Consider the following 26,507-nt stretch of genomic DNA (forward strand, 5'->3'; position numbering starts at 1 on the left):
GAAGGGAAATCCTTTGACCAACTGGAGGTGGAGCTCGGGTAGGAAAGTTAGTCACCAGCCGCCTAATTTGGTCACATTCCAGGAGGCAAGAGCGGCCCAAGAGGGGAGAGAGAGGTCAGCGTGGCTGGTAGCTCTGGAAGGGGCAAGGATGAGCTGGACTCTGACGAGGCCAGGGCAGGCCCACAGCCCATCTGGACCGGGGAGTCTCCTAGGCCAGAGCCCTTGGGGCCGAATGGAGCTCCGAAGGGTGGGGCCCAGGATCCCGGAGCCACCCCTGCCGAGGGCCTCCTGGCCCGACCTCCAGACATGAAATCACCCCCAAGTCCCAGGCCCCATATGGCAGGGCCTGCCTGTCTCCCCAGCGTGGCAGCCGGGGGGCCCGGGAGGAAACTGCCTGGCCTCAAAGTGAGTCACCCCCGCCGGCTGATTCAGCCACCCTGAGCCAGGGGAGGTGAGGCCGGGACTGTCCGTGGTCTGGAGGGGCCTCGGCCAAGCCCAGTCCCCAGAGGCCAGCTCACCCCAGCAGGGCGCGTGGGCCGGTGCCACTGTTCAGCCTGGGACCCCTGCCGAGCCTCTTACGGCCAGTAATTAGCTCATTCCACCAACAGCCTGGATGGGTCGTGACACCCATCTTACAGACGGGAAAGCTGAGGCCCTGAGAGGTCCAGGCTTGGGGTCCATATCGGGCAGGGCTGGGCAGCCCCAGGCAAAGCCCCTGCATCTAGAATAGTGACAGGAGCCTACAGTCACCTGCTGGCTTCTGGACCCAACAGAAAGTCCACCCTGCTTGGAATCCTTTGGCTAGAATTCCAGCCTCTGGAAAACTGTCTTTCTGGGGAAAGCTAGGCCACCTCCCAACTGCCAGGAATGTGTGAAAGGGGCTCAGACTGTAAAAGGAATCGGAATGAGTGAACAAATGAAGGAATGAACTAATGAATGAAGAAATGAACGAATGGCTAAAGGAATGAATGGACAAACATGAATGAATGAATCAACAGATAAACAAATGAGCCAGTGCTTTGTCAGGACAGCAGGTGTATGAGTCCCCACTGGTCTGCCTCCTGCCCCAGGGGAAGCGGTTTCCCTGCCCCCATGGCCAGCAAGGGGCAGAGGCCAGCGAGGTTGTCCATCCTGGATGTTCTCAGTGGTTCCAGGCCGAGTCCTGGGGACCCACCCGAGGGCCCAGTGTCTGCTGTGTCTGTCAGAGACTTGGCTGGTGGCACCAGACAGGCAGGTGGGGCCCAGGCTGGCCGAGGAGCAGCGTTTCCAGTTACACCTGCCTTCTGGGTGGCCCTAGGCCAACCTCTGCACGCTGGAACCTCTGTTTCCTCATCTGTTCCTTGCACGGGACCTTTTGCTATTTAGCAGCCTCCCTTCAGGCCCACAGGATGCTGGGAGTCAGGCTGTGCAGGGCAGGCAAGGGGTCCGAGGCTTCCGGGCGGCCTCCCCCAGGCAGGGAAGCCTCTGACTCTCTCTGGGGCTGAGCCTGCCTAAGGTCACTCGTTTCTCCCCACACCACAGCCCCCAGACCCAGCCCTTGCCTGGGCCCCACCTGAGCTCACCCCAGGTAAGACTTCCTGGGTAAGGTAAGGTTCCCACTTCGTTCTCTTCCCGACACACTGGAGGGGGGATGTGCATTCCTAGGCTATATCAGAGCAGAGAGGGCGAGGCACAGAGAGGCCAAGGGGTTTGCCCAAGCTCACACAGCAAGGGCAGAGGGAAACTTGGCGGGGCCTGCAGGGCTTCTGTCTGGGTGGTGTTGGGGAACAGGGGCTGGAAAGGGGCCTCCACGGGGCTTCAGGACAGAGAAGGGGGTGCCCCCACTAGAACGTTAGCACCAAGACAGCTGTTTTCTGCTATATCTCTAGGGCTGAGTTCAGCGCCAGGCGCACATCAGGAGTTCTGTAAACACTGCCTGGCCACCTTGGAGCAGGCAATGATTTTTTATTTTTATTTATTTACTTTTCTGAGACAGGATTTCACTCTGTCACCCGGGAGTGCGGTGACATGATCATAGCTCACCACAGCCTCCACCACCTGGACTCCAGCAATCCTCCTGCCTAAGCCTCCTGAGTAGCTGAGACTACAGGTATGCACCACCACGCCTGGCTATTTTAAACAATTTTTTGGGGGGGGGCATAGGGTCTCACTATGTTGCCCAGGCTCGAACTCCTGGCCTCATGCAGTCTTCCCACCTCCGCCTCCTAAAGTGCTGGGATTACAGGCATGAGCCACCTCGCCTTGCAATTTTTAAAATAGGACGTTGAACCAAAAAAAAGGTGGATAAATTGGACTCTATAAAAACTAAAGACTTTTGCTATTTAGAAGACATCATTTAAGAACATGAAAAGGCCAGCTGCAGGCTGGGAGAAAGTATTTGCAGTGTGTGCGTCTGACGAAGGAGCTATGTCTAGAATACACAAAGACCTCCTCCAGCCCAGTGATAAGAAGACAGCCCAATTTCTGTAAATGGGCAGATTTTGAGCAGACATTTCACGAAAGAAGATCTGCAGTCAATACAGACATGAAGAGATGCTTCACGTCGTCCGTCATCAGGAAATGCAATTACAACCACGGCGAGATACAACTACACCCATCAGAACTGCCAAAATTAGAAAGCCTGATTACATCAAGTGCTGGTGAGGATGCGGGGCACCTGCGACGCCCCCACACTGCTGGCGGGAAGGCAACGTGATGGGGCCACTTTGGAGAAGGGTTCGGCAATTTCTCGTAAGTGAAACACACACTTACTGTGCGATCCAGCCCTTCCATGCCTCAGTATTGACCCAAGACAAGTGAAAACATATGTCCTGGCTGGGCGCAGTGGCTCATGCCTGTAATTCCAGCACTTTGAGAGGCCGAGGGGGGAGGATCACTTGAGCCCAGGAGGTTGAGACCAGCCTGGGCAACATGGTTAGACTCTGTCTCTACAAATGATCATTAAAAAAAAAAATTAAGCTGGGCATGGTGGCACATGCCTGTGGTCCCAGCTACTCAGGAGGCCGAGGTGGGAGGATCGCTTGAGGCCAGAAGTTTGAGACCAGCCTGGGCAACATAGTGAGACCCTGACTCTACAAAAAATTTAAAAATTAGCTGGGCATGGTGGTGACTGCCTGTAGTCCCAGCTGCTTGAGAGGCTGAGGTAGGAGGATCACTTGAGCCCAGGCAGTCAAGGTTGCAGTGAGCTGTGATCACACCAGTGCATTCCAGCCTGGGTGGCAAATGGAGACCCTGTCTCATAAAAAACCACCCCAAAATACAGAGAGATGGGTGCACCCTTCACCCAGTTTCCCCCAGTGGTTTAACATCTTGCTAAGCTACCCCAGCATATCACAGCCAGATCTCAACATGGATGCCCGAGCCACAGAACAGCTACGGCTGCCTTTTTATTTTTATTTTTTGACAAAGTCTCGCTGTCGCCCAGGCTGGAGTGCAGTGGCGGGATCTTGGCTCACTGCAACCTCCGCCTCCGGAGTTCAACCGATTCCCCTACCTCAGCCTCCCAAGTAGCTGGGACTACAGGCATGCACCACCACGCCTGGCTAGTTTTGTATTTAGTAGAGATGAGGTTTCGCCATGTTGGCCAGGCTGGTCTCCAACTCCTGACCTCAGGTGATCTGCCCGCCTCTCCCAAAGCCCTGGGATTACAGGTGCTCACCACCACCCCCAGCTAATTTTTGTACTTTTTAGTAGAGACAGGGTTTCACCATGTTGCCCAGGCTGGTCTCAAACTCCTGACCTCAGGTGATCCGCCCACCTCAGCCTCCCAAAGTGCTGAGATGACAGGCGTGAGCCACCGCGCCCGGCCCCAGCTGCCTTTTTATAGCCACACTGCCTCCTCCTCAACTGCTGGCCCTGATTTTGGCATCCGCAGAATGTCGTGTAAACGGAATTGCAGAGTGCACGGCTTCTTTCCCTCAGCATCGTTCCTGACAATTCCATCCTGGTTGCTGGGCACACTGCTAGTTCCTTTTCGGTGCCGAGTAGCATTTCGGAGCATGGATGTACCACGGTTTGTTCCCCCCGCTGAAGGATGCCACGGTTGGTTCCAGCTTGAGCCTCTCTGAGTCAAGCTGCTGTGTTCATGAGTGTGCGGGTCTGTGTCTTCACTCTCTGGGATAAATGCCCAAGAATGCCATGTGATGTGTTGTATGGTAATTGCATGCTTAGTTTGGATTTTTGTGTTGTTAAGAAACTACGAACTATTTTCCAGAGTGACTGCCCCATCTTATGTTCCCAGAAGCAATGTCTGAGTGATCCTGTTTCTCTACAGGACAGAGTGCTGCTGTGTGTGGTTTTTTTTTGTTTTTTTTTGTTTTCTTTTTAAGGCAGGATCTCACTCTGTCACCCAGGCTGGAGTGCAGTGGCATGATCTCAGCTCACTGCAACCTCCGCCTCCTGGGTTCAAGCGATTCTCCCTGCCTCAGCCTCCCAAGTACCTGGGATTACAGGCGCCTGCCACCACACCTGGCTAATTTTTTTTGTATTTTTAGTAGAGACAGGGTTTCACCATATTGGCCAGGCTGGTTTCGATCTCCTGACCTTGTAATCCGCCTGTCTCGGCCTCCCAAAGTGCTGGGATTTCAGGCATGGGCCACCGTGCCCGGCCTGCTGTTTCTCATTCTAGCCATTCTGATAATAGGTGTGTGGGGGTGTCTTACCGTGGCTTTAATTTGCATTTTCCTACTGGCTGGTGGTCTGACATCTTTCCCTGTGTTCACTGCCGTCCGCATGTCCTCGTGGGGAAGTGCCTCTTCATAACCTAGTTGGATTGTTTGCATTTTATGGTTGAGTTTTGAGAGGTTTTTTTTTTTTTTTTGAGACGGAGTCTCACTCTGTCACCAAGAAGGGAGTGCAGTGGCACCGTGTCGGCTCACTGCAACCTCCTTCTCCTGGGTTCAAGCAATTCTCCTGCCTCAGCCTCCCGAGTAGCTGGGATTACAGGCACCCACCAAAACATGCCCGGCTAGTTTTTATGTTTTTAGTAGAGATGGGGTTTCCCCATGTTGGCCAGGCTGGTCTCGAACTCCCAACCTCAGGTGATCCACCTGCCTCGGCCTTCCAAAGTGCTGGGATTACAGGCGTGAGCCGCCGCGCCCGGCCGAGTTCTGAGAGTTCTTTAACGATTCTATGTATTGGTCTTCTCTGCGATACACGTGGTTTGAAAATGTTTTCTCCCAGTCCCTGGTTCGTATTTTCATCTTCTTCACGAGGTCTGTTGCAGGCACCAGTTTTTAATTTTGATGAATTCCAATTTATCAAATCTCCCTTTCATGGACCGGTGTCAAGTCTAAGAGCAATTTCCCTATAGTTTCATATTTAAGTCTGTGATCCATTTTGAGTTAATTTTTGCATAAGGTGTGAGACTTGGGTCAAAGTTCCTTTGTGTTTGGCCTATGGATGTCAGAGCCTGAATCTCCCAAAGTTTCTCTCCTGCAACCCTTATTCACTGTTGTTTATTTATTGAAATATTTCCTGCAGGCCTACCCAGTGCCCAGCCTGCAAGAGATCCCGGGGGCTTGAGGTGCATGAGTGAGCTGTGCCTGCCCTTGGACCCCAAGTTTACCATCCCATCCAGAGGTTGAGGGCACCCTGGTCCTGGATACACCCCAACCCCTCCCGGGGCAGCCTTGGGATCTGGGTGTCCACGTCAGGGCCCACGAAAGAGCCACAGGGAACAGAGCCACCCGGGACCACGGTGAGACATGGAACCTCACAGTACAGAGACAGGGAGCTGGGCCCCGTCTACTTAGCCACCCTGGGATACGGCGTGGGCAGCACAGACCCTCCTGTATACTGACAACGCTCATATGAGAACGTCTGGATACACAGGGCTACACACGGACCCTCCTGTATACTGACAACGCTCAAATGAAAACGTCTGGATACACAGGGCTACACACAGACCCTCCTGTATACTGAAAACGCTCAAATGAGAACGTCTGGATACACAGGGCTACAGAGAGTGGACGGGTGGCTCCTTGGGCTGGAAGCAGGAGCTGTTGTTTAACAGGTGCAGAGTTTCCGTTTAGGAAGATGAAAGGGCTGGACATGGACAGTGGTGATGGCTGCACCGCGGTGTGGATAACGCCACTGCACTGCACACGTAAAAGTGGTTAAAATGGTAAGTTTTGTGTTATGTGTATTTTACCACCATAAAAAAAAGAAAAACCCTTATCTACAAAAGACTTCAGACCAAGGCCTCCCGAGCCGGGAAGAGGTACTTCATTGCACGTTTAATGCTTCATGCAGTATTCAGAGCAGAGATAAGGGGGGGGATGGCTCACAGGTCCACAGGGACGTCACAGGCACAGGCGGGACACGGCGACGTGGCCGGGGCTGGGTGGGGAGGGGGACCCCACGCATCGTAACCGCCAGCAGGGGAGGGGCTGCAACGAGCAGCCTCGGACCAAGGACAGCCTCCCCGGGACGCACGGGACAGGAGCAACATCAGGTGAACTGCAATGACCTCGCTTGTCTTTCGGGGGAACCCAGGAATCCCCTGGGAAGCTTCTCTGCACTGGCCTCACCCTTTCGGGCCTGGCTGGCTCACGTCATCACTGCGGGATCCAAGACACATTTAAGGGACAAGTCGGTTGAGCGGGTCGGGGCGTGTGGGGCCCGCGGCTGGCTTGACTTCTGCTTTCCCCCAACATCAACTTGCCCTGGGTGGACTTTCTAAGAAAGGTGAGGACGGCCTGCTGGAGTCCCGCCAGCCCCTCCCAAAGGAACTTCGAGCCCGGCCCCCCCTACTGGGGTCTACCTGCGGCCGCGGCCCTGGCTCCCAAGGCAGGAGCCCCGTGTGTCTTGGCGCCCGGCTTCCTCTCCAATTAGGGGCAAGATCAATCTCACAGCTCAGAGACTCTCCCACTCCGGCATCCGCAGCAGGGCCCCCGGGGGAGGTGGGGGTGCGGCGGGGTGCAGTGGCGCGGGCAGGGGTACACATTTGCGGGAGGGGCCTTGACTTCTTCGGCCTCAACTCCCTGCTCTCAGCCTCATCTCCCCTGGGGGGCAGCCCCTTTTGACACACTTGCCCACACTCAGACCTCAATCTGGGGGACCTGACCTCACAGGGTCACCAGGCCCCAGGGGCAACGTCCTGGCCTGGTTCTGGGGAGGACCGATCCTCAAGCATCTCCAGGAGACTGGCAGGGGTGGGGTGGGCCCCCCAGGAGAAGCCCACAGAGGCAGCCGGGGAGGCGTGTGGGGAGGAAGCTGGCCTGTCCCTTCCTTGATCTTGGGATGCATTTTGTCCGCTTGTCCTTTGATTTGGAAATGCACAAGGTGATCATTTATTCCAAAAAGTGAGTCCGGGGAAGGGGCAGTCCTCACGCTGCCGGGACCCAGCCCCACCCGGCCCACACCTCACACAGCGGCTCCCGGGCCCCCGACACAGACGAGCAGGGCACGGCCACCACACTGGGGAGCTGGGGCTGCAGGGCGGGAGCTGTGCTCAGACGGTGAGGGAGATGAAGCTGTTGTAACGCTGAATGTTCCTCTTGAGGATCTCAGAGCAGGGCCCCAGCACACGCTCGAAGCGGGGCCGGTCCAGCTTCACACACTTGAGGGGCCCCCGGGCCACGACAGTGGCCGCCCGGGGCCGGTTCAGCAGCAGTGCAATCTCCCCTGGGGGTTGAAGAGAGAGGTCAGGGCTGGGCCTGGGGGTCCTGAGGCTGCAGCAGGGAAAGATTATGTCCAGGACCCTGGAAGCGGCTCCCTTTTAAGGATAGGATGTGCCAGGCACACGTGAATTTCAAACAAACTTGTAGCATAAGTATAGCCCGAGAACTATTTGGGATATACTTATGCTAATGAATTGTTTATTATCTGAAATTCACGTTCAGCTAGCCATTGTCCTGCACTTTTTTGGGCAATCCTGCAGGAATGCCCAGGTGTGCCCAGGCCTCCCTTAGGACCCAGACCCCCAGCTGCAGGAATGCCCAGGTGTGCCCAGGCCTCCCTCAGGACCCAGACCCCCAGCTGCAGGAATGCCCAGGTGTGCCCAGGCCTCCCTCAGGACCCAGACCCCCAGCTGCAGGAATGCCCAGGTGCACCCAGGTAGGCCTGGGCCTCCCTCAAGCCCACCCACCCCCAGCTGCAGGAATGCTGGTGGCTGATGGCTACACTGTGCCCCCTCATCCCAGAAGCAGGAGGCTGCCTCCCCCAAGGTCATGCCCTCTGGGGGACCCCACGTCCAGGGCTCGTTGCTCCTGGGGACCCAGACCTGGCCCTGGGACTTCAATTTGGGGGAACAGGACTGAGCCTTCTGTTGCAGCCACACTGGGGCTCAGCCAAGCCCCACTACAAGGCCCCAGGGAAGCCCCCCAGCAGCTCCTCACCTCCAGGCCCCTCCCGAGACCCCAAATGAGATGGCCACAGCCGTGCGAGGGAGGGGACGCCCACTGGACTCACCGAAGTAGTCAGAGGGTCCCAGGCGCCCCACCTCCACGTACTCCTCATTGGGGGACCGGCGCTGCAGCACGGACGCGGTGCCCTGTGGGTGGAGGTGGACAGACGTGAGTGCCAGCCAGGCGGGTGCAGGGTGGGACACACGTGAGGGGTCACCCCACAGGGGGTCACCACCCAAACCCCCACCTCCCACCCAGGTCCTTCTCCCAGAGCCACTGCCGACACCACGTCACCACCCAAACCCCCACCTCCCACCCAGGTCCTTCTCCTGGAGCCACTGCCACCACCACATCACCACCCAAACCCCCATGTCCTGCCCAGGTCCTTCTCCAGAGCCACTGCCACCACCATGTCACCACCCAAACCCCCACCTCCCGCCCGGGTCCTTCCCTCGGAGCCACTGCCATCACCATGTCACCACCCAAACCCCCACCTCCCACCCAGGTCCTTCTCCCAGAGCCACTGCCACCACCATGTAACCACCCAAACCCCCACCTCCCGCCCAGGTCCTTCTCCAGAGCCACTGCCACCACCACGTCACCACCCAAACCCCCACCTCCCGCCCGGGTCCTTCCCTCGGCGCCACTGCCATCACCATGTCACCACCCAAACCCCCACCTCCCACCCAGGTCCTTCTCCAGAGCTACTGCCACCACCACGTCACCACCCAAACCCCCACCTCCCACCCAGGTCCTTCTCCAGAGCCACTGCCACCACCACGTCACCACCCAAACCCCCACCTCCCACCCAGGTCCTTCTCCAGAGCCACTGCCACCACCACGTCACCACCCAAACCCCCACCTCCCGCCCAGGTCCTTCTCCAGAGCTACTGCCACCACCACGTCACCACCCAAACCCCCACCTCCCACCCAGGTCCTTCTCCAGAGCTACTGCCATCACCACGTCACCACCCAAACCCCCACCTCCCGCCCGGGTCCTTCCCGCAGAGCCACTGCCACCACCACGTCACCACCCAAACCCCCACCTCCCGCCCGGGTCCTTCTCCAGAGCCACTGCCACCACCACGTCACCACCCAAACCCCCACCTCCCACCCAGGTCCTTCCCGCAGAGCCACTGCCATCACCACGTCACCACCCAAACCCCCACCTCCCACCCAGGTCCTTCTCCAGAGCCACTGCCACCACCACATCCAATGCTGCTGCTTCTCCCGTTCCCGGCACCTGTGACCAGGGCATCTGAGCACCGCGGGACCTGCCCAGAGACCACCGTCCGGCCTGGCCCAGCTCCCATTTTTGTTCAGACACACAGCTCCTCGAAATGGAACTCACTGGCCCCCCGCACCTTTGCCGAGGCGAGCGGAGGAGCCGGGAGGGGACGCGCTGGGACCTTCCCTGGGGGTCGGTATCTTTGTCACAGGGCTGCCGGTCTCCAAGCTGACCTTGGACCAACTCTCAAGGACTGGGAGCTCATCCAGCCATCCCGGCCTCCCCGGGGAAAGGGGAGGGGGGCGCTGTCTCAGGGTCACATGCCTACTAAGCTCCCTCCTGACCCCCGACACGGGGAAGTGGGGAGGGGTCTGCGGGTTGCCCAGATCAATGATTAACACAGAGGCCGTGGGCAGCATATCACAGGGCACCGCCGCAGCACGTGCTACGCACAGATGCAGCCTGCGGACGGCGGGGCTGGGGTAGCTGAATGTCCCCTGGACTCTGGTCCCTCCAGGGCCCCAGGTGTGGAAACCGCGGCCTGGCACAGGGAAAGCGTGGGCTGTGTGGCCAGACGGGGCTGCCGTGTCACTGTCCCCCCTGAGACTCCGCCTGCCGGGAACCTAGGAATGTCCCGCTGACACTAGAGCCGCTGGGAAGACACACTAGAGAAGCTTCCTCTGAACAGCCGGGGAAACGGTCTGTCCTCAACACCAAACACCCTCAGCAGGTGTTGATGAATGTAGCTCTGTCGCCGGCCCTGCACGCCGCCGGCCTCAGACACTCCCCGAATTCCACTCTGAGCAGCTCTCTCTGCACCACGCTCCGACCGGTCCCTAGTCCCCGGAGGCAGGGCCCCGCGTCTGCCGCAGAAGTGCAGCACCTGCGTGAGGAATGTCACCATCCCATTTTACAGCCGGGGAAGCTGAGGCCCAGGAAGGTGGCAGCACCTGCAGCCTGGCCCTCCAGGGTCCGGAGACGGCACCATCCGGGTACCCAGGGATCACGTCCCCACAGCCCCAGCCGGCCTGGCAGACGGCGGCCCTCTGAGAGCAGCTGCTCTTGGAGAACAAACACTTCATTTCAAGGTGGGCTCGGTTCACCCTGGCTCACCCAGACCCAGCCTCAACAAATGCCAGCCAGGCTGTACCTGGGTTAATGAGTAACTCCCCACCTCATCAGTCTGGGAGAGATGTGGGTCAGGAGACCCTGCTGGTGCCCGCCACGCCTAGAATCTCCAGGCACCAACTGGCAGCCCCTGTGACAGCCAGACCGCTGCCCTGGCCCCTGATCCGGCCGTGGGGCCACTCGGCTCCCAGGCCTCTGCCGTGTTTATGAATCCAGCTGATGGATGAGCAGGACGTGTAAACAACAGACCGGGCGGCTGAGTGCCGCCACTGTGGGCAGGGGGAGACAGGGAGCGTGCCCTCAGCCGGGTGCCCACAGACTCAGACCCCGGGCGCTGGAGAGAGGGAAGACTCCGTGGGCCCCCACCCACAGGAACAGCTCCCAGCTCTCCTCCCAGTCCTGGCACTGGCTCAGGCCAGACCCGGGCACAGCTCTGGGCTCTGAGGCCCATGTGGGGGCAGATGGCGGAGGGTGAAACTCCTGGGCTCTGAAGCCACCGGCCCCAGCCTTCCCATAGGTGAGAACTCTGCTTCCTGGTCTTCAAAGCTGTGGCCACTCTGAGAATTCGGTGCGAGAAAATTTGGTTAGCTGGGGTCTGGAGCAGGCCAAGCCCCCGCACAGGAGAGCCGCTGTGAGCGGCGTTATTTGTCTGGACAGCCCATCACGCTGACCTTGCGGACAGACGTCATCGATGCTCCCTTTGTGGCCATTTTTAACACTTTCTGTTTCACAGCTGGGATTATTTTCCTCTCTCAGAATCCAGGCGATGAACCTGACGGCCTCTGGTTCACAGGATTACTTGGTGAAACCTGGGTGTGGAGCAATGTTCAGGTGCTTTTGACCCCAAATAGCAGAAAACCCAAATTGAGGCTGGTAAGGTCTAATAAAGGCCACGGATCCCACAGAGCCAGAAGACAGGGGAGGCCACGGATCCCACAGAGCCGGAAGACAGGGGAGGCCACGGATCCCACAGAGCCAGAAGACAGGGGAGGCCACAGATCCCACAGAGCCAGAAGACAGGGGAGGCCACGGATCCCACAGAGCCGGAAGACAGGGGAGGCCACGGATCCCACAGAGCCGGAAGACAGGGGAGGCCACGGATCCCACAGAGCCGGAAGACAGGGGAGACCACGGATCCTGCAGAGCCGGAAGACAGGGGAGGCCACGGATCCCACAGAGCCGGAAGATAGGGGAGGGCTCCCAGGCCCATTTCATGGCTCGGAGGTGGCAGGGACCCAGCCTTGCTCTTGCTTCCTGCTCTGGGACCTCGGGGAGGTGCAAGGTCCTCAATCAGGTCCCTCATGGGGGCACAGAGGCTGCCGTGGCTCCGGGAGTCACCACAGGCCACCCCTACACCATCAGCAGAAAGACAGAACCTACCTCTTTCTCCTGCACTTCTCCCCTCAGCAGTGAGAAACCCTTCCAGAAACTCCTGGAAACATCCCCTCACTCCTCATTGGCCAGAGAGGGTCTCACGCTTGCCCTAAACCAGTTGCTGGGGAATATGACCCATGGGACTGGACGTGCCCCGCTCTGGGGAGGGGCTGAGGATTGGGATTCTGCCGGCAAGGAAGCGGCAGGGATGGGTCCGGGGAGCCCCCACGGGGCTGCTGTGCCGACTGCTCCCGGACACACCACACTTTGTCACTAGTCACGCTGTCTGGATGCAAGAGCACACTGGCCGTGCTCGGTGGTCTCTGGAATCCGGTTCTAAGTGGTGGCATCTCCTAGAGGCCATTTGGAAATCGGCAGCATAATTACCACACGGATGACTTTTTTAATTGGAGGCATTCTCACTCTTCACACGCCCTGATAGGAAAGGATGCACAGGTACCTTCAGGCTGGACCCTCCTCTGAGGCTCTGGAGAGATGTGTTTTGTAAACCTCTGCTGTCTTTCCCTCCAGCCCGACCAGGGAGGGACTGACCACTGTCTGGGCAGCTGCTGCACCCCAGACCTTCACATGCCCCCTTTTTCAGGGCCCCAGCATGTTGTGGGGGGCATGAATTTCTCCACTTCGCAGATGGAAGCCCAGAGAGGTTGAGCAACTTGGCCAAGGCCACACAGTCAGAGTCCCGCTGCCTCCACAAGCAGATGACATCCAGCCCTACCCGAAGGCTGCAGTCACCCGTGGTGGTGGCCAGCACACCTGGCTCACAGGCCCTGTTGCAGGAGGGGTGCTGCGAATTGGCAGACGGGAGCCCGGGAGGCAGACCCAGGCAGCGTGGGCTTGCATCCAGGCCCCCCACCTCAATGCATGACCAGATGCCCCCGCTCCGGGGACTCAGCCAGGTACAAGCCGTCTTCATCCCTCCTATGCTCATCCCAGCAGTGCGGCCCCTCCGGGCCCCTGTCTCCCTCTTGCATATGCCCCGGGAGTGGCCAGCACGAATTTTGCTTCAAGGACGCTCGGCTCCTGGCTGTCTCCAAGCTCCCAGGCACCCCCAGGCCACCCTGCACCCCTGAAGCCTTTGTGAGAACCACCATGAAGCCCCTGACCAGAACACAGCTCAGGTGGGGGCATTCGTGCTTCCCACCAAGAGTGACTGGACACCCACCACGTGCCAGGCACCGTTTTAGGCCACGGAGGAAACTTCTGGAAACCGACCCCTCAGAGGCATCCCAGAGGCCACCAAAGCAAACCCACCCACCCCGACCCCAATCACCCCCAAACACAGCTTCACTGAGTTTCCACTGCGACGTGGGTTTGCCTGATGTGAATGCAACCCTGCAACCGGCGGCCTTCGGATAATTAGAAGGGCCTCTGGGGACGTCCAGGAACGGAGTCACATAAAGGGGTAAAACACCGTCAATAACGCGGAACAGTCTTCCGCACGGAGTCATTCTGCTTTTGGAATTTGTATTCTTAGGAGTCACTGCCAAGACGGCCGGCAGGGGCCCCACCCGTGAGGCAAAGGGGTCGGTCCCCGAGGCGTCCGCGTTCATCCCTCCCGGAAGGGGCTGTGGCGCGGCTGGACAGGAGGGGCCGAGGCCAGAGGAAGGTGTTTGGTGCCTGTGGATCGGGAACAGTTCCCCACGCACCTCCGGCACGTCGACCCTCCACCTTTAAGGTCAAGTTCATCCTTTCACCTTCTCCAAACACACCCCAGTAGAGCTGTGTCTTGAGCTCAGATGCCATGTTTCTGGAATGGAGAGGGGGACGCTGCCTCTGTCCCTGGGGCCGGGAAAGTCTGCGTCATAAAAGACACAGGTGCCTCCCCCGGCTCCCAGGGTACTGAAGAGTCCCCGTGCAAAGCTACCAAGTTCACGTGAACTAGACGCGGCCACTCAGCTGCCCCTTGCCCTCCCACAGCCGACCCCCACCTCTGACCTCCTGAGCTGCAGAGAACCAGGTGCGGCCCCTCCCACCCCCGGCCTGGGCCGGGCAGCTTCCGTTTCCAACCAGAGTCGGGGAGGAACTGGGAGGAGGGGAGCGCGGTCTCCTCAGCGGAGTCTGGTGGCCCCGGGACTCCCTCCTCCTGCCCTCCCATCTCCACCAGGATCAGCAGCCAAGGAGGGAAAGAGGCAGGACCCTCAGAGCCCAGCAGACCTGGGTTCGAATCCCTTCCTCACGTCTCAGCCGCGTGACACCCGTGACCAGGCCCCTGGTGGAGCCACGACTCGGGAGGGCCACATGGGACAGACACCCACCCACCTGACACACAACCATCACTTCTCAAGAAAGGGAGACATTTCTCCGTTCTTTCCACCGCACTGTTGCAGGGACTGTTTGTTACAGCAGCTCGGCCTCTCTCCCTAGCTGATACACCACCCTGCACACTGACGGTGGTGACAGTCCCCGTCCTGTGCCTGCGCACCCATGGACATCTGTGCCAGATGCCTGAGTCCGACAGCAGAAAGACAGGGAACAGCAGAGGAGGGAGAAACAGGATGGACATGGACCAGGAGGGGCAGGGGTGCCGACCTCCAGCTGGCAGAATCCAGCACTCCCACGACATGGGCGGCCGCCGCAACCACCACGTACCCTCAGTTTCCGGGAGGCCCAGCTTGAGACGCACCACGGTCTCTCAAGCTGTCGAAACCTCTGGAAATAGACACTCCTGTCCAACTCCACTTCCCAGACTGCCACGAGGCAGCACAGACGCTCTCAGGAGGATTGAGAGTCTGGGTTTTTTTGGGCTGGAAAAACATGCTTGCCAAAACTCTAGGTCATACTCCCCAAATTTTCTCACTATTGATTCTAACCCGACTCTAAAAATAACCCAGTGGCACAAACCTGGGAGGAGACGCCGCAGAACGTCCTGCCCTGGCCGTTGTCCGCAGCAGGGGAATCACAAAGGATTCATTTTCCTTGCGACTATTTTGATTTTTTAAAATTTCCTGCAAAATCAGCTCAGACGTAGTGGCTCACGCCTGTAATCCCAGCACTTTGGGACGCCGAGGTGGGAGGGCGGCTTGAGGCCAGAAGTTTGAGACCAGCCTGGGCAACATAGTGAGACCCCATCTCTTAAAAAAAAAAAGAAAAAAAACACAAAAATGCTGGGGTGTGCTGGCATGTGCCTGTGGTCCCAGCTACTCAGGAGGCTGAGGTGCGAGGATCGCTTGAGCCCAGGAGGTCGAGGCTGCAGTGAGCCATGATTGTACCACTGCACTCCAGCCTGGGTGACAGAGCGAGACCCTGTCTCAGGAAAAAAAAAAAAAAAAAAAGGAAGGAGGAGAAGGAGGAGGAGGAGGAGAAGAAGAAATAATAAAATTTCCTATAAAATCAAAACCAAAATCAACTTTTTGATTTTCTACAATGGGCAGGTATGACTTTGATCAGAAGGAAAACCAGGCCAGGCGTGGTGGCTCACTCCTATAATCCCAGCATTTTGGGAGGCCGAGGTGGGCAGATCACCTGAGGTCAGTAGTTCGAGGCCAGCCTGGCCAACATGGTGAAACTCTGTCTCTACTAAAAATACAAAAATTAGCCAGGCGTGGTGCGCGCCTGTAATCCCAGCTACTGGGGAGGCTGAGGCAGGAGGATTGAATGAACCGAGAGGGGGAGGTTGCAGTGAGCCGAGATTGCGCCACTGCACTCCAGCCTGGGCAACAAGAGCGAAAGTCCATCTCAAAAAAAGAAAAAAAAAGAAGAAGGAAAACCAGCCAAGGTCTTAGCATCAGCTTCCTTGGAAGGGGCCCCGGCTTCCTGTCCCTTGTCACAGCCTCCCTTGCCCGGCCGTGAGCCTCCAACGCTTCGGCTCAGAGGTCAGTCGGATCACAGAACTGGGGGCAGACGGGGAGACAGGGTCCCTCCCTTTGGGTCCAGTGCTCCAGGGAGAACCTGGTGCCACAGGCGTGGACGGCGGCCCCGTCCCAGCCAGGTTCCCATGGACACAGACCATTTGCCTTCCTCGGAGCTGCCGATGCATCTCCCTTCTGTTTATTCTTCCAGGCTCGCCTTCAGTCACTCGTCTACTGCATTAGGGCTAGGACTACGGCCGTGAACGAGGAGGCCACATCCCTGCCCGGACCAGGACTCGGCACCCAGAGGGGAGGCAGACACAACCCACAAGGCCACAGGTGCCTGACGCCAGGAGAGCCGAGAATCAGTTCAGGGGGCGGCCAGTGAAGGCCCAGCCACCAGCAAAGTGGCCTCTGAGCTGAGACCTCGAGGGCAGGAGGAGCCAGCCGGAGAAGACGTGGGGGCCGCATCCCAGGCCGAGAGAGGGGCTGGTGCCACGGCTGGGAGAAGAGGCTGGAGCAGGGGGCAGGGCCAGGACGGGGGCTCAGGGCAGTCAGAAGGGATCTGCTCCGTCTCAGGGCTGGTGGTCGCACTTCCCCATGCCCGGCAGGAGCCCCGAGTGGTGCAGGAAGGGCTCCCCGATACGAGGGGACCCCGATCTGGGGCCGACGCCAGGGAAGCACCGGAGCCCAGGCCCGCTGTGCTCATAGCCCAGACCAGAGACCGTCTGGACACCCCCCGGGAGGAGACACACTAGGAAGCCCATCTCTTCCTATGCGGGACGCCACACGCGTGTGCAGGCAGTGAGCCGGAGTCTCGAGGCTCGCTGTGGAGTCAGGGAGGCCAGGAAAAGGCACATGCACCCCAAGTCCCTTATGTGAAGTTCTACAAGAGACAAATATATTCATTTTACTTAAATAAATATTTTAGGCTGGGCACGGTGGCTCACACCTGTAATCCCAATACTTTGGGAGGCCAAAGAAGGAAGATTCCTTGAGCCCAGGTGTTCAAGGTCAGCCTGCGCAACATGGCAAGACCCCATCTCTACAAAAAGTAAATTAGCTGGACGTGGTGGTACCTGTGGTCCCAGCTACTCAGGAGGCTGAGGCAGGAGGATCACTGCAGCCCAGGAGTTGGAGACCAGCCTGGCTAGCAAAGCAGGACCCTGTCTCTAATAATGACAAGGTTTGGCGGTGTCCCCACCCAAATCTCATCTTGAGTTGTAGCTCCCATAATCCCCACGTGTTGTGGGAGGGACCCAGGGGGCGGTAACTGAATCATGGCATGGGGTGACGGTTTTATAAGGGGCTTTCCCCGCTTTGTTCAGCTTTCATTCTCTTTCCTGCTGCCCTGTGAAGAGGTACCTTCCACCATGATTGTAAGTTTCCTGAGACCTCCCCAGCCAGGCAGAATCACAAGCGATTAAACCTCTTTTCTTTATAAATTACCCAGTCTCGGGCATTTCTTCATAGCAGTGTTAGAATGAACTAATACAAATAATAATAATAATAATAATAATAATAATAAATATATTTTAAAAGAAACTTTGTATCACGACCATAAATGGAAACTGCTATCACTTTCCATAAATTAAAAAGTAACTAAAAGATTAAGCACAGCTGGAAAGGTGTTCAACACACGAGCTTAACCCAGGCTTCCCCCTGACCTGGCCAGGAACAAATGGGACTGAGGAGGCTCCTGTCCTGCACCTTGGGCCAGGTCATCAGCACCAAAATCGGGCCGCAGACCAAGAGTCGAAGAGTCTGGGTCCAGCCTCAGCTCTGCAATGCACCAGCCAGTCTCAGGCAAGGCCCATAGCTGCTCCAGCCTCAGCTGCCTCATCTGTTATATGGGACAACGCCAACCAATGCTACAGAGCGGCGGTGAGGCCAGATTACCCCAGCTCCAGGAGTTCCAGCACGTCAAACGGGACAGTCATCATGAGGGCGGCGGCCATGAGTGAACGTAAGAGTGGACAGACACCAAATGCCTTCTCAGGGCCACGGGGGCCACGACACGTTCCTCCCTCCAGTGAGACTCCTCAGAGCCTGGAAAATTCAGGCTCACTCCAGTGCCTTTACGTTTCCTGTGCACACATTTCCTGCCTGTGTGCTTCTGGACTTAGGCAGAAGCAGAATCCTATACATACACACACACGTGTGAACACACACACATACACACAGATGCATATTTGTGCACGCAAACACCTGCGCACACACACACTGGTACGTGCATACATGCACACACACCCCACACACAGGCACACAAACACACACACACACACACCTGTGCACACACACACGGGTACGTGCATACACACATGCACACACACCCCACACACATGCACACACAGGCACACAAACCTGTGCGCACACACCTAGGCACAAACACACAGGCACACACGCCTGTGCACACACACACACACACATCCACAGAGGATGCAAGCAGCCCCTGCCTCTAAAGCACTCCCAGGTGCTCTGTGATTTCTCCTGAATAAATAAGCCCCATGGATGCATTTTTATGTTTTTTTAAGCAACCGTTGCAATAACTGTTTTTTCCACATGGAAGGCAATTTCACCTGAAGCTCCCTTCCACCCAAATCCCTTCCTGCTCCCTCAGGCGGTGACTCCTCGGAGCGCTCCTGAGCTGCGTGCAGGCTCCGGGTGTCTTGGAGGTGACCGAGCTGTCCCTCTGCCGTTTGTTTCGGGAGGCTGAGCCACTTCCCCGCAATCATCCCCTGCCCGCTCCTCAGGCCCGGCTGGCCGAGACGGAACTGATGTACGTCACACACCCTGGGCTGCAAACTGTCCTCGGGACGACAGCGAAAACACACTTCAGCGGGCGAGCCGCCCAAGGTCAGCTCCTGTGCCAGCGTTTAATGGATCATCCATGAGGTCTGGGGCCCGGCAAAGGCACGGCCCAGCAGCTTCCGTGGGAAACAAGCCGTTCCCGCGGACGTCGGCGCCAGGGCTTGGGGTGGGAACAGGTGCGGGGCTGCGTCCGCCCCCGCCTGCATGCCAGAGTGAGGCAGGCCTGGCCCCGTGTGAGACGAGCCTTTCCTTCTGCAAACCCAGTTATCCCCTCGGTTGTCTCTGCAGCCAGGCACTGTCCGTCCCGGGACCTACGCAGCTGCCATGGAAGCTCCGGTGGGTGCTCCCGGCGCGGCCGGGGGGTGGGGGTGACGAGATGCCTGTGGCTGCGCCAGCAACCACGGTTAGGTGAGAAGCGTGGAAGGAAAGGGGCATGTGGCTGCCCGGGCCTTGCCCTCAATGCCCTTCTGTGGCCCAGTTACTCCCGGCCATCTGTGTGGGAGTCTCTGCAGGTTCCGGGGAACCAGGGCGAGCACAGGCCCCAGGCTACAGAGGCTCCTGCTGCCTGCCAGGCGGGGAGGTGGGGGCAGCCATTCCTGCTCCAGCCCCAGGCACCTCTCAGGGTGGGTGGGTGGGAGTGCTCACTGCCTGTGGTTTGTGTGGCTTCAACCCCAAGCGTCCCAGTGAGGGCCCTGTCGCCTCCAGCTCCACAGGCCCAGCCCAACTCCTCGTCTGCCCCCATTAGGCATCTCTGTCCACAGGACTCCTCCCAGACGACGGCAGACACCTCCCTCGGCCTCACCTCCCAACCAGGGGTCACCAGCACTGAGGATTCTGCCCCCTGCAGAGCCTGGAACGCGTCCCTTCCAGCCCTCTCCACCAGGCCTGCACTCATCACCTGCAGGTGGGCCAAGCCCCGGCCTCCAGGGCCTCTCACACCCTTTCCTCCATTACTGCCCCTCCATCTGCCTGGTCACACCAGGTTCCAGAAAGAGCTCTTAAAGGGTCTCTGTCACACACAGATCACAACCAATCTGCCCATCATAGCTTTGCGGCCAGCAGCATTTCATCTTCCCTCCAGCTGTTCTCTTCCTCCCTGGATCTTCTTTGCAAGGCCATGGGGTCCATGCCCCCCAACCATGACTCCCTCCACCATGCTGACCCCCGGCCAGGATGTCCTGACCCCAGCTGAGATGCCCAGACACCAGCAGAGATGCCCTGACCCTCGCCCGCCATTTCAGCTGTTGCTTTCTCAGCCAAGTCTCAATCTTTGGATGAACAGACATTGAGTCCTTCCAGGTACTGACCAGGGTGCTGGACACCAGAAACCTAACGGGCGCTGATGAAATCTCCACTGTGACTTCACAGCAACCCCAACCCTTCCACACACCAGCACCTCTCATCCCAGGAGAGCCTGGGCCCGGAACTGACACGGCTTCTGCTTCCTGGGATCAAACATGCCCCCAGCCCTCCAGGCAGCCACCAGGGCAGGTGCAGGTGGGCAGGCACCTAGACCCAACCCGGAGCTGATGCCCCGTGCCCTCGGCCCCCACCCTGAGGGTCCTCTGAGAGCACCTGCCAGGTCAGGCTGCAAGTCCGCCCCAGGACCCCCTCCACGGGATACCCCAGTTTTCTTTTCCAATGAGCCTAAAAACCCTCCACAGGCTGCCTCTGCAGACACCATTCCTTAGGCCAGAAGGGAAAGGAAAGGAAGGGGTGCCACTGCTGAGAGCCCAGGCTGTGCACTGTCCACTCAGCAGGCGTCCAACAGCCCCCCGGCTTGGGTGGGCCAAGACCCACAATGTCCCAGCCCCAGGGGGCCCCAAGCTGCTTCAGCCTCTGCAACCTCTGCACGCTGGGTGTGTGTGTGCATGCATGTGTGCACGTGTGAGTGCGTGCACAGGTGTGTGTATGGGTGTGTTATTGTGTGCACAGGTATGTGTATGCACTGTGTGTGTGCATGTGTGCCAGAACAGAAGTCTGTGTGAGCATGTGTGCACGTGTGCATACATGCATGTCTGTGCGGTGTGTGCATGTGTGTGTGTGCATGGGTCTGCTTGGAGTGTGTATGTACGTGTGTGTGCTCAGGTGTGCATGCATGTCTGTATGTACATGTGTGTACGTGTGTGTGCACAGGTGTGCCTGTGTCCATGTGCACACGGATCAGTGTGTGTGCATGGGTTGTGGGTGTGCATGGGTTGTGGGTGTGTATATGTGCATGTGTGCACACGTGTGCATGGGTGAGTATGTGCGTTGGTGTGCATGGGTGCACACTGGCTGATTATGTTCTAAAGAGGCAGAAAGCACTTTCCAGCCTGGCCCGGCTCCAGCCTCCTCCATTGACAATTCAGCAGCCCCCCTCTGCCCGCTCCCCACTTCCCGTTCTGATCCTGGTGTTCCCAAAGGGTCTCCTCCCTCCCTGTTCAGTCTCCCCACAGAGACCATACCCCACGCAGCCACCACCCATCATTCTGGACCTGGCCCTCAGCCCAGTGGGCCCCTCCGGGTCCAGCCAGAGCTGTGGCTCCTGGACACCCCTGTGGGAACCTGAGACTTGGAATCTGGATGGACGGGAGGTGGGGCCAGGGTGGGACACAGGCCGCCGCCCCCAGCGTCAGCCCATCCAGCCTCAGGCCTCCTCCCAGGTCCTCCCGTGGCTCCGTGGCCAGCCTCAACCTCCGCCGCCAGCCTCAACCTCCGCCCTTGCTCCCTCTGGGAGGACTCTGTGTTCCCAGCAATCCTGGCCCTGTCTCCGTGGCTCGAAGCTTTGCACTGCCTTCCAGGCAAGCCTGTGGCTCGGAGCTTTGCACTGCCTTCCAGGCAAGCCCACGTCCTCTCCACGTGGGCAGTCACACACTCAGGTCCCCGCCCCACCGCATTCAGGCCCTCGACTCCAGCCACAGTGACACCTCTGTGCCTCTGCACACAAATGTTCCCTCAGCCTGGAGGGCATTCCTAGGCCTCTTCCCGCAGCATCCCCAGAAACTGCCCAGGGCGCCAGCACTGACTCCGGCAGTGCCCAGATGCATCTATAAATCCTCACAGCTCAGGGGAGGGGGGATCGGCCGGCCAGGACCAACAGGCCCAGGGCCCAGGGCACTGGCCCCCAAAAGCACTTCCAGAGTGAACTCCCGAGACGAACACATCAGCTTTGGAGGGAGGAAGTGTTGCAGGCGGATGCCCCCCAACCTTGCATCTGGGACGGGAGCCCAGGGGTATTTTTCCACCATCCCTGAGTGGAGATTTATTGAGCTGCCCATTCTGGGAGCCACTGTCTGGGAACCCAGGAGTGACAACTGACAGGTGTTCACATTCACCTGCCTGGCGACTTCCTGGGCTTCCACCCAAGGAGGGGTGATTGGAACTTGCACAGCCAGGAGTGGAAGGAGGGTAAACCTAACCACACGCTTCACTTCATTCCTTCAGGGTTTCGCAGGAGACTGGAATAAGATCGGAATAATTCCAACAGATGCTCCAACCATCCCTCATGGACCACACGCACTCTTGGATGCTGAAGAGCAGGCTGGGGTCTGGGGCAGCCTTTAGGGGCTCTTGGGACCCCAAAGGTGTCCAGCTTGGATGTCTCCAGCAGATCTTTCTGGAAATCTGGGACACCAAGGAGGAGCACAAATGCTGGTCTTACTACTAAGCAATATGTCCCTCGGATCCAAAGGAGAGCAGGTGACCTGGGTGCAGCCACAGCCAGCTGCCACCTCCCTGGAGTCCCTCATGAAGCAATGCATTCAGGGCAGAATCCATTGCTGCCTCAGCCCCCTTCAAAGACCAGGCCCAACACCGCACCAGCTCCTTGGACACTGCCCATCTTCCCAGGGAGAGTCTCGTGCTCAGAGAGGCTATAAATATACGCCGGACAGTCAAGAGTTTCCGTCGCCAACAGAAGAGCTGAGCAAAAGGTGAAATAAACATCCCGTGGCTGCAAATTAATTGATTTTTATCTTGCCTGAATTGCTATTTAAAACTGGTCTGGTGATTGTGGGGAGTTTCTGAAGGACTCAGCAGGACAGATGAGGCACACGGGACGTTTTCTGGGCCCCTGCGCAGCTGCGGTGCTTGACTGGGGTAGCTCAGGCTCCGTGAGGATCTGGACTTCAGACTTGGCCCAGCTGGGTGGCTAAGGACATGCTACCTCACTTCTCCAAGTCTCAGTTTCCCCACTGTAAAATAATATAAACCTATCCAGAATCCACCAGGTTCTGGGGAGATTTAGGCAAGGATGTGGGTACCCCCGGAACACTGCCAAGGGCTTTACCTCTGCAAAAGGCTGGGGGTTATCAGCTGGTGAGGTCTGAACTCATGGAATTTTCCTCTCAGTGCATTTTCTCATCAGACATATTGGGAGGATAATGGTCATTACCTCAGAGACTCGTAAGGATTAAATGAGTTAAATATGGAAATGTTTGAAACAGAGTAAAAGCTAAAAAAGTGTTAGTCACCACCGCTGCCACCTTTATCATTACCATTACCATCATCACTATCACCATCATCACCATAACCACAACCACCATGGCCATCTTCACCATGACCATCATGGTCATCATCACTATCATCATCACCATGACATCATCATCACCATCTTCACCAACTCATCTTCACCTTCATCATCACCATCATCATCACCATATTCACCAACTCATCACCTTCATCATCACCATTATCATCATCACCATATTCACCATTTCATCACCTCATCACCACCATCACCACCACTTCCACCATCATTATCACCATCACCACCATCACCATCACCACAACCATCATCACCATCTTCACCATGACCATTGTCATCATCATCACTATCATCACCTTCATCACCATCATGATCATCACCATCATTATGGCCACCACCATCACCATCATTGTCATCACCTTCACATCACCATTACCACCATTACCTTCATCACCATTGTCATCACATCACCTTCATCACTATCATCACCATCATCAGCACCTTGATCACCATCATCACCATCACCTTCATCACCATCACCATCATCACCATCACCTTCATCATCATCACCATCATCACCATCATCATCATCATCACCATCACCATCATCACCATCACCACCATCATCATCACCATCATTGGTGGCAGCAGCAGCAGTAGCAGCATAATAACAAACAGGCTTGGCTGGATAATTTCTATGAGGGCCACTCAAACAACGGAATATTATTCTGCCTTGAAAAGGAAGGACATTCTGACACCTGCTAGCTACAACATGAATGGCCCTTGAGGACACTACGCAACTGAAATAATCTACTCACAAAGGGACAAATCCTGTCAGATCTCCCTTATAGCAGGCAGTAGAGTTCAAACTCATACAGACAGAAAGGAGAAGGGTGGTTCTACTTTCTAGAACGACTGGGAGAAAGGGGTGGGGAGTGTGACTTTGTTGGGGACAGAGCTTCATCCTGCTAGAATGAAACATTCTGGAGAACATGGATGGGAACCGCCACACAGCAAAATGACCTACTGAATGCCAGCTGAACTGTACCCCTAAAAATGGTCATGAAGGATAATTTCCACGTTATCTGTTTTTTTAACCAAATTGTTAAAAACCAACCCAATTTGAAAAAGGACCTGGCCCCATGGAAACATCAACCCACTCCACCCTTATGGCCTCACCTCATAGCTACGTCCAAATTTGTCATCACATCACCTTCATCACCTTCATCATCATCACCATCACCTCCATCATCATCACCATCACCTCCATCATCATCACCATCATCACCATCATCATCACCATCACCTCCATCATCACTATCACCATCATCACCATCACCTTCATCACCATCACCATCATCACCATCACCTTCATCACCATCACCATCATCACTATCACCATCATCATCACCATCACCTTCATCACCATCACCGCCATCATCATCACCATCAGTGGTGGCAGCAGCAGCAGTAGCAGCAAAATAAAAAACAGGCTTGGCTGGATAAACACAATGTGGGCCACTCAAACAACGGAATATTATTCAGCCTTGAAAAGGAAGGACATTCTGACACCTGCTAGCTACAACATGGATGGCCCTTGAGGACACTATGCAAGTGAAATAAGCTAGTCACAGAGGGACAAATCCTGTCAGATCTCCCTTATAGCAGGCAGTAGAGTTCAAACTCATAGAGACAGAAAGGAGAAGGGTGGTTCTACTTTCTAGAAGGGCTGGGAGAGGGGGGTGGGGAGTGTGTGTTTGGTGGGGACAGAGCTTCAGCCTGGGAAGATGAAACATTCTGGAGATGATGGTGGTGACAGCCACACAGCAAAATGACCTGCTTAATGCCACTGAACTGTACACCTAGAAATGGTCATGATGGTAAATTTCACGTTATCTGTATTTTATCACAATTTTTAAAAACAAAACATTTTTAAAAGGGCCTGGCCACTGGAACCTCAACTCACTCCACCTATGGCCTCAGCTCATACTGCCTCACAGTCTCACCCATGCTCGGGGGTCATGGCCAGGGTGAGGTCACAGCCCCCCGTGCCGCTAAGCACCCCCTCGGTCTGGCCCCACACGTTTCCCACCCCTGTCCTGGAGGCATGGCCGAGCCACAAGGTAGGTGACCTTGTGTCCTGCTCCTGGGGAAGCTGCCCCCTCAGGAGCCTTTTCACCAAGTTCCTCCGGCAGCTGACTCTGGGGAGGGACAGCAGGGCCAGCAGGCCACAGCTGTGGGACTGAGAACCTGGCTGTTGAATCAGAGAGACATGCGTGGCCAAATTTAGAACACAGGAGGACAACTTCCTCCCAGAGACCATTGTTCACCACCTGGAGCTGGCCCGCCCCGGGCATGCGGACTTCCCAGAAGGACCAAGTGCTCAAGGGCCCCGGCTTCACTCAACATCATCAGAAGGTCTGGGAGGAGGGGAGCAGACCACCCCCCACAAGGGAGGGAATGTCCACAACCCACTGCCTGCAGGACCACAGCCACCACGGCCAGCCCCTGCTGCGGGGGGTGGACGACCGTGGGGTGCTGCAAATCGATTTGTCCAGAACTGCGCATCTGTTAGGATGTTCCCAGCCAAAACATCCGTCTTTACGGCAATAGTCTTTGCATGGTGCTTAAGTCTCCTCGCTTTGCTGCCAGGAATCTGGTCAGGGTAATCCGGGACCTTGGAACCAGCCACTGCATTCCACATCTGTCTCGTCTGGGAACGCCTGCGCGGCGGTGCCCCGAGATACGGGTGGGAAACAAGATCTGGAAATGTCTGCAATGGAAAGCCGGGGCCCGCGGGGGGTGGTTCGGTCTCTGGGAGGGGAGGGTTGAGGGAGGGAGGAAGATGGTGCTTTTTAGAGTTGTTATTTTTTTTTTTTTGGTGGGGGAGAGGGTGTTAAACTTTGTATAATGTTACTTACATTAACAAAAAAAAAAATCAGAGAGAAAATATCAAGGCAAAGGCACTTGTCAAAGGAACCACACAAATGGGACCATCCTTTGCTGAAGACGCCTCGGCGTCCCTGTCTCAGTCCGCAAGCGGCATTTTACTTGAAGAAATTACTTTGAAGGTTCTTGTCTCCCAAAGCAGAAACCCTGAGCGTGAGCTGACCAAGGCCTCAGCCTCACACCTGGCCCTCTATCCACGCAGAGAACAGCCTGCCGGCCGCCCCAATTCACATCGAAACTCACTTACGCTGAAAGGCAAGTGAAGACGTCCCATGCCTTTGGGAAAACAGTTGTCCCCTGGAGCCATCTCACAGTTCAGCCGGGTGCTGGGAAGCTCTCCCCGGCCCCCAAGCTGCTGGGCCGAACGTCCAGCTCACTGGGAGAGGGCAGCC

General features: G+C 57.0%; 1 protein-coding gene and 1 long non-coding RNA gene across 12 annotated transcripts in view, besides 1 other annotated feature; one reads left to right on the plus strand and one right to left on the minus strand.

Annotated features, from left to right (window-relative positions):
• The window catches only part of PRKAR1B (protein kinase cAMP-dependent type I regulatory subunit beta), a 179,738-nt gene continuing 159,451 nt past the window's right edge, over positions 6,221-26,507 (minus strand). For 6 of the 11 annotated variants that reach the window (XM_047420607.1, NM_001164759.1, XM_047420608.1 and 3 more), the window contains 2 exons: positions 8,413-8,494; positions 6,221-7,626 (listed from right to left, as the gene is read on the minus strand). In XM_047420607.1, coding sequence (XP_047276563.1) covers positions 7,454-7,626; positions 8,413-8,494 — 255 coding nt within the window. In that variant the 3' untranslated portion in view covers positions 6,221-7,453. The remainder of the gene's footprint in view (positions 7,627-8,412; positions 8,495-26,507) is intronic. The other 5 variants (NM_001164758.2, NM_001164760.2, NM_001164761.2 and 2 more) reach the window with 1 other exon arrangement.
• Positions 9,469-9,969: an enhancer, noted in NCBI's record as "H3K4me1 hESC enhancer chr7:592082-592582 (GRCh37/hg19 assembly coordinates)". NCBI's record gives its function as "activates a minimal SCP1, AML or CMV promoter by ChIP-STARR-seq in naive H9 embryonic stem cells {active_cell/tissue: H9 hESC(naive)}" and the evidence as "EXISTENCE:reporter gene assay evidence [ECO:0000049][PMID:30033119]".
• On the plus strand, positions 18,982-22,643 carry PRKAR1B-AS2 (PRKAR1B antisense RNA 2). The gene is made up of 2 exons (NR_132384.1): positions 18,982-19,034; positions 22,125-22,643. It is a non-coding gene; the product is annotated as a PRKAR1B antisense RNA 2 (long non-coding RNA).

Source organism: Homo sapiens, chromosome 7, assembly GCF_000001405.40.
Source record: "Homo sapiens chromosome 7, GRCh38.p14 Primary Assembly".
Lineage (NCBI taxonomy): Eukaryota > Metazoa > Chordata > Mammalia > Primates > Hominidae > Homo > Homo sapiens.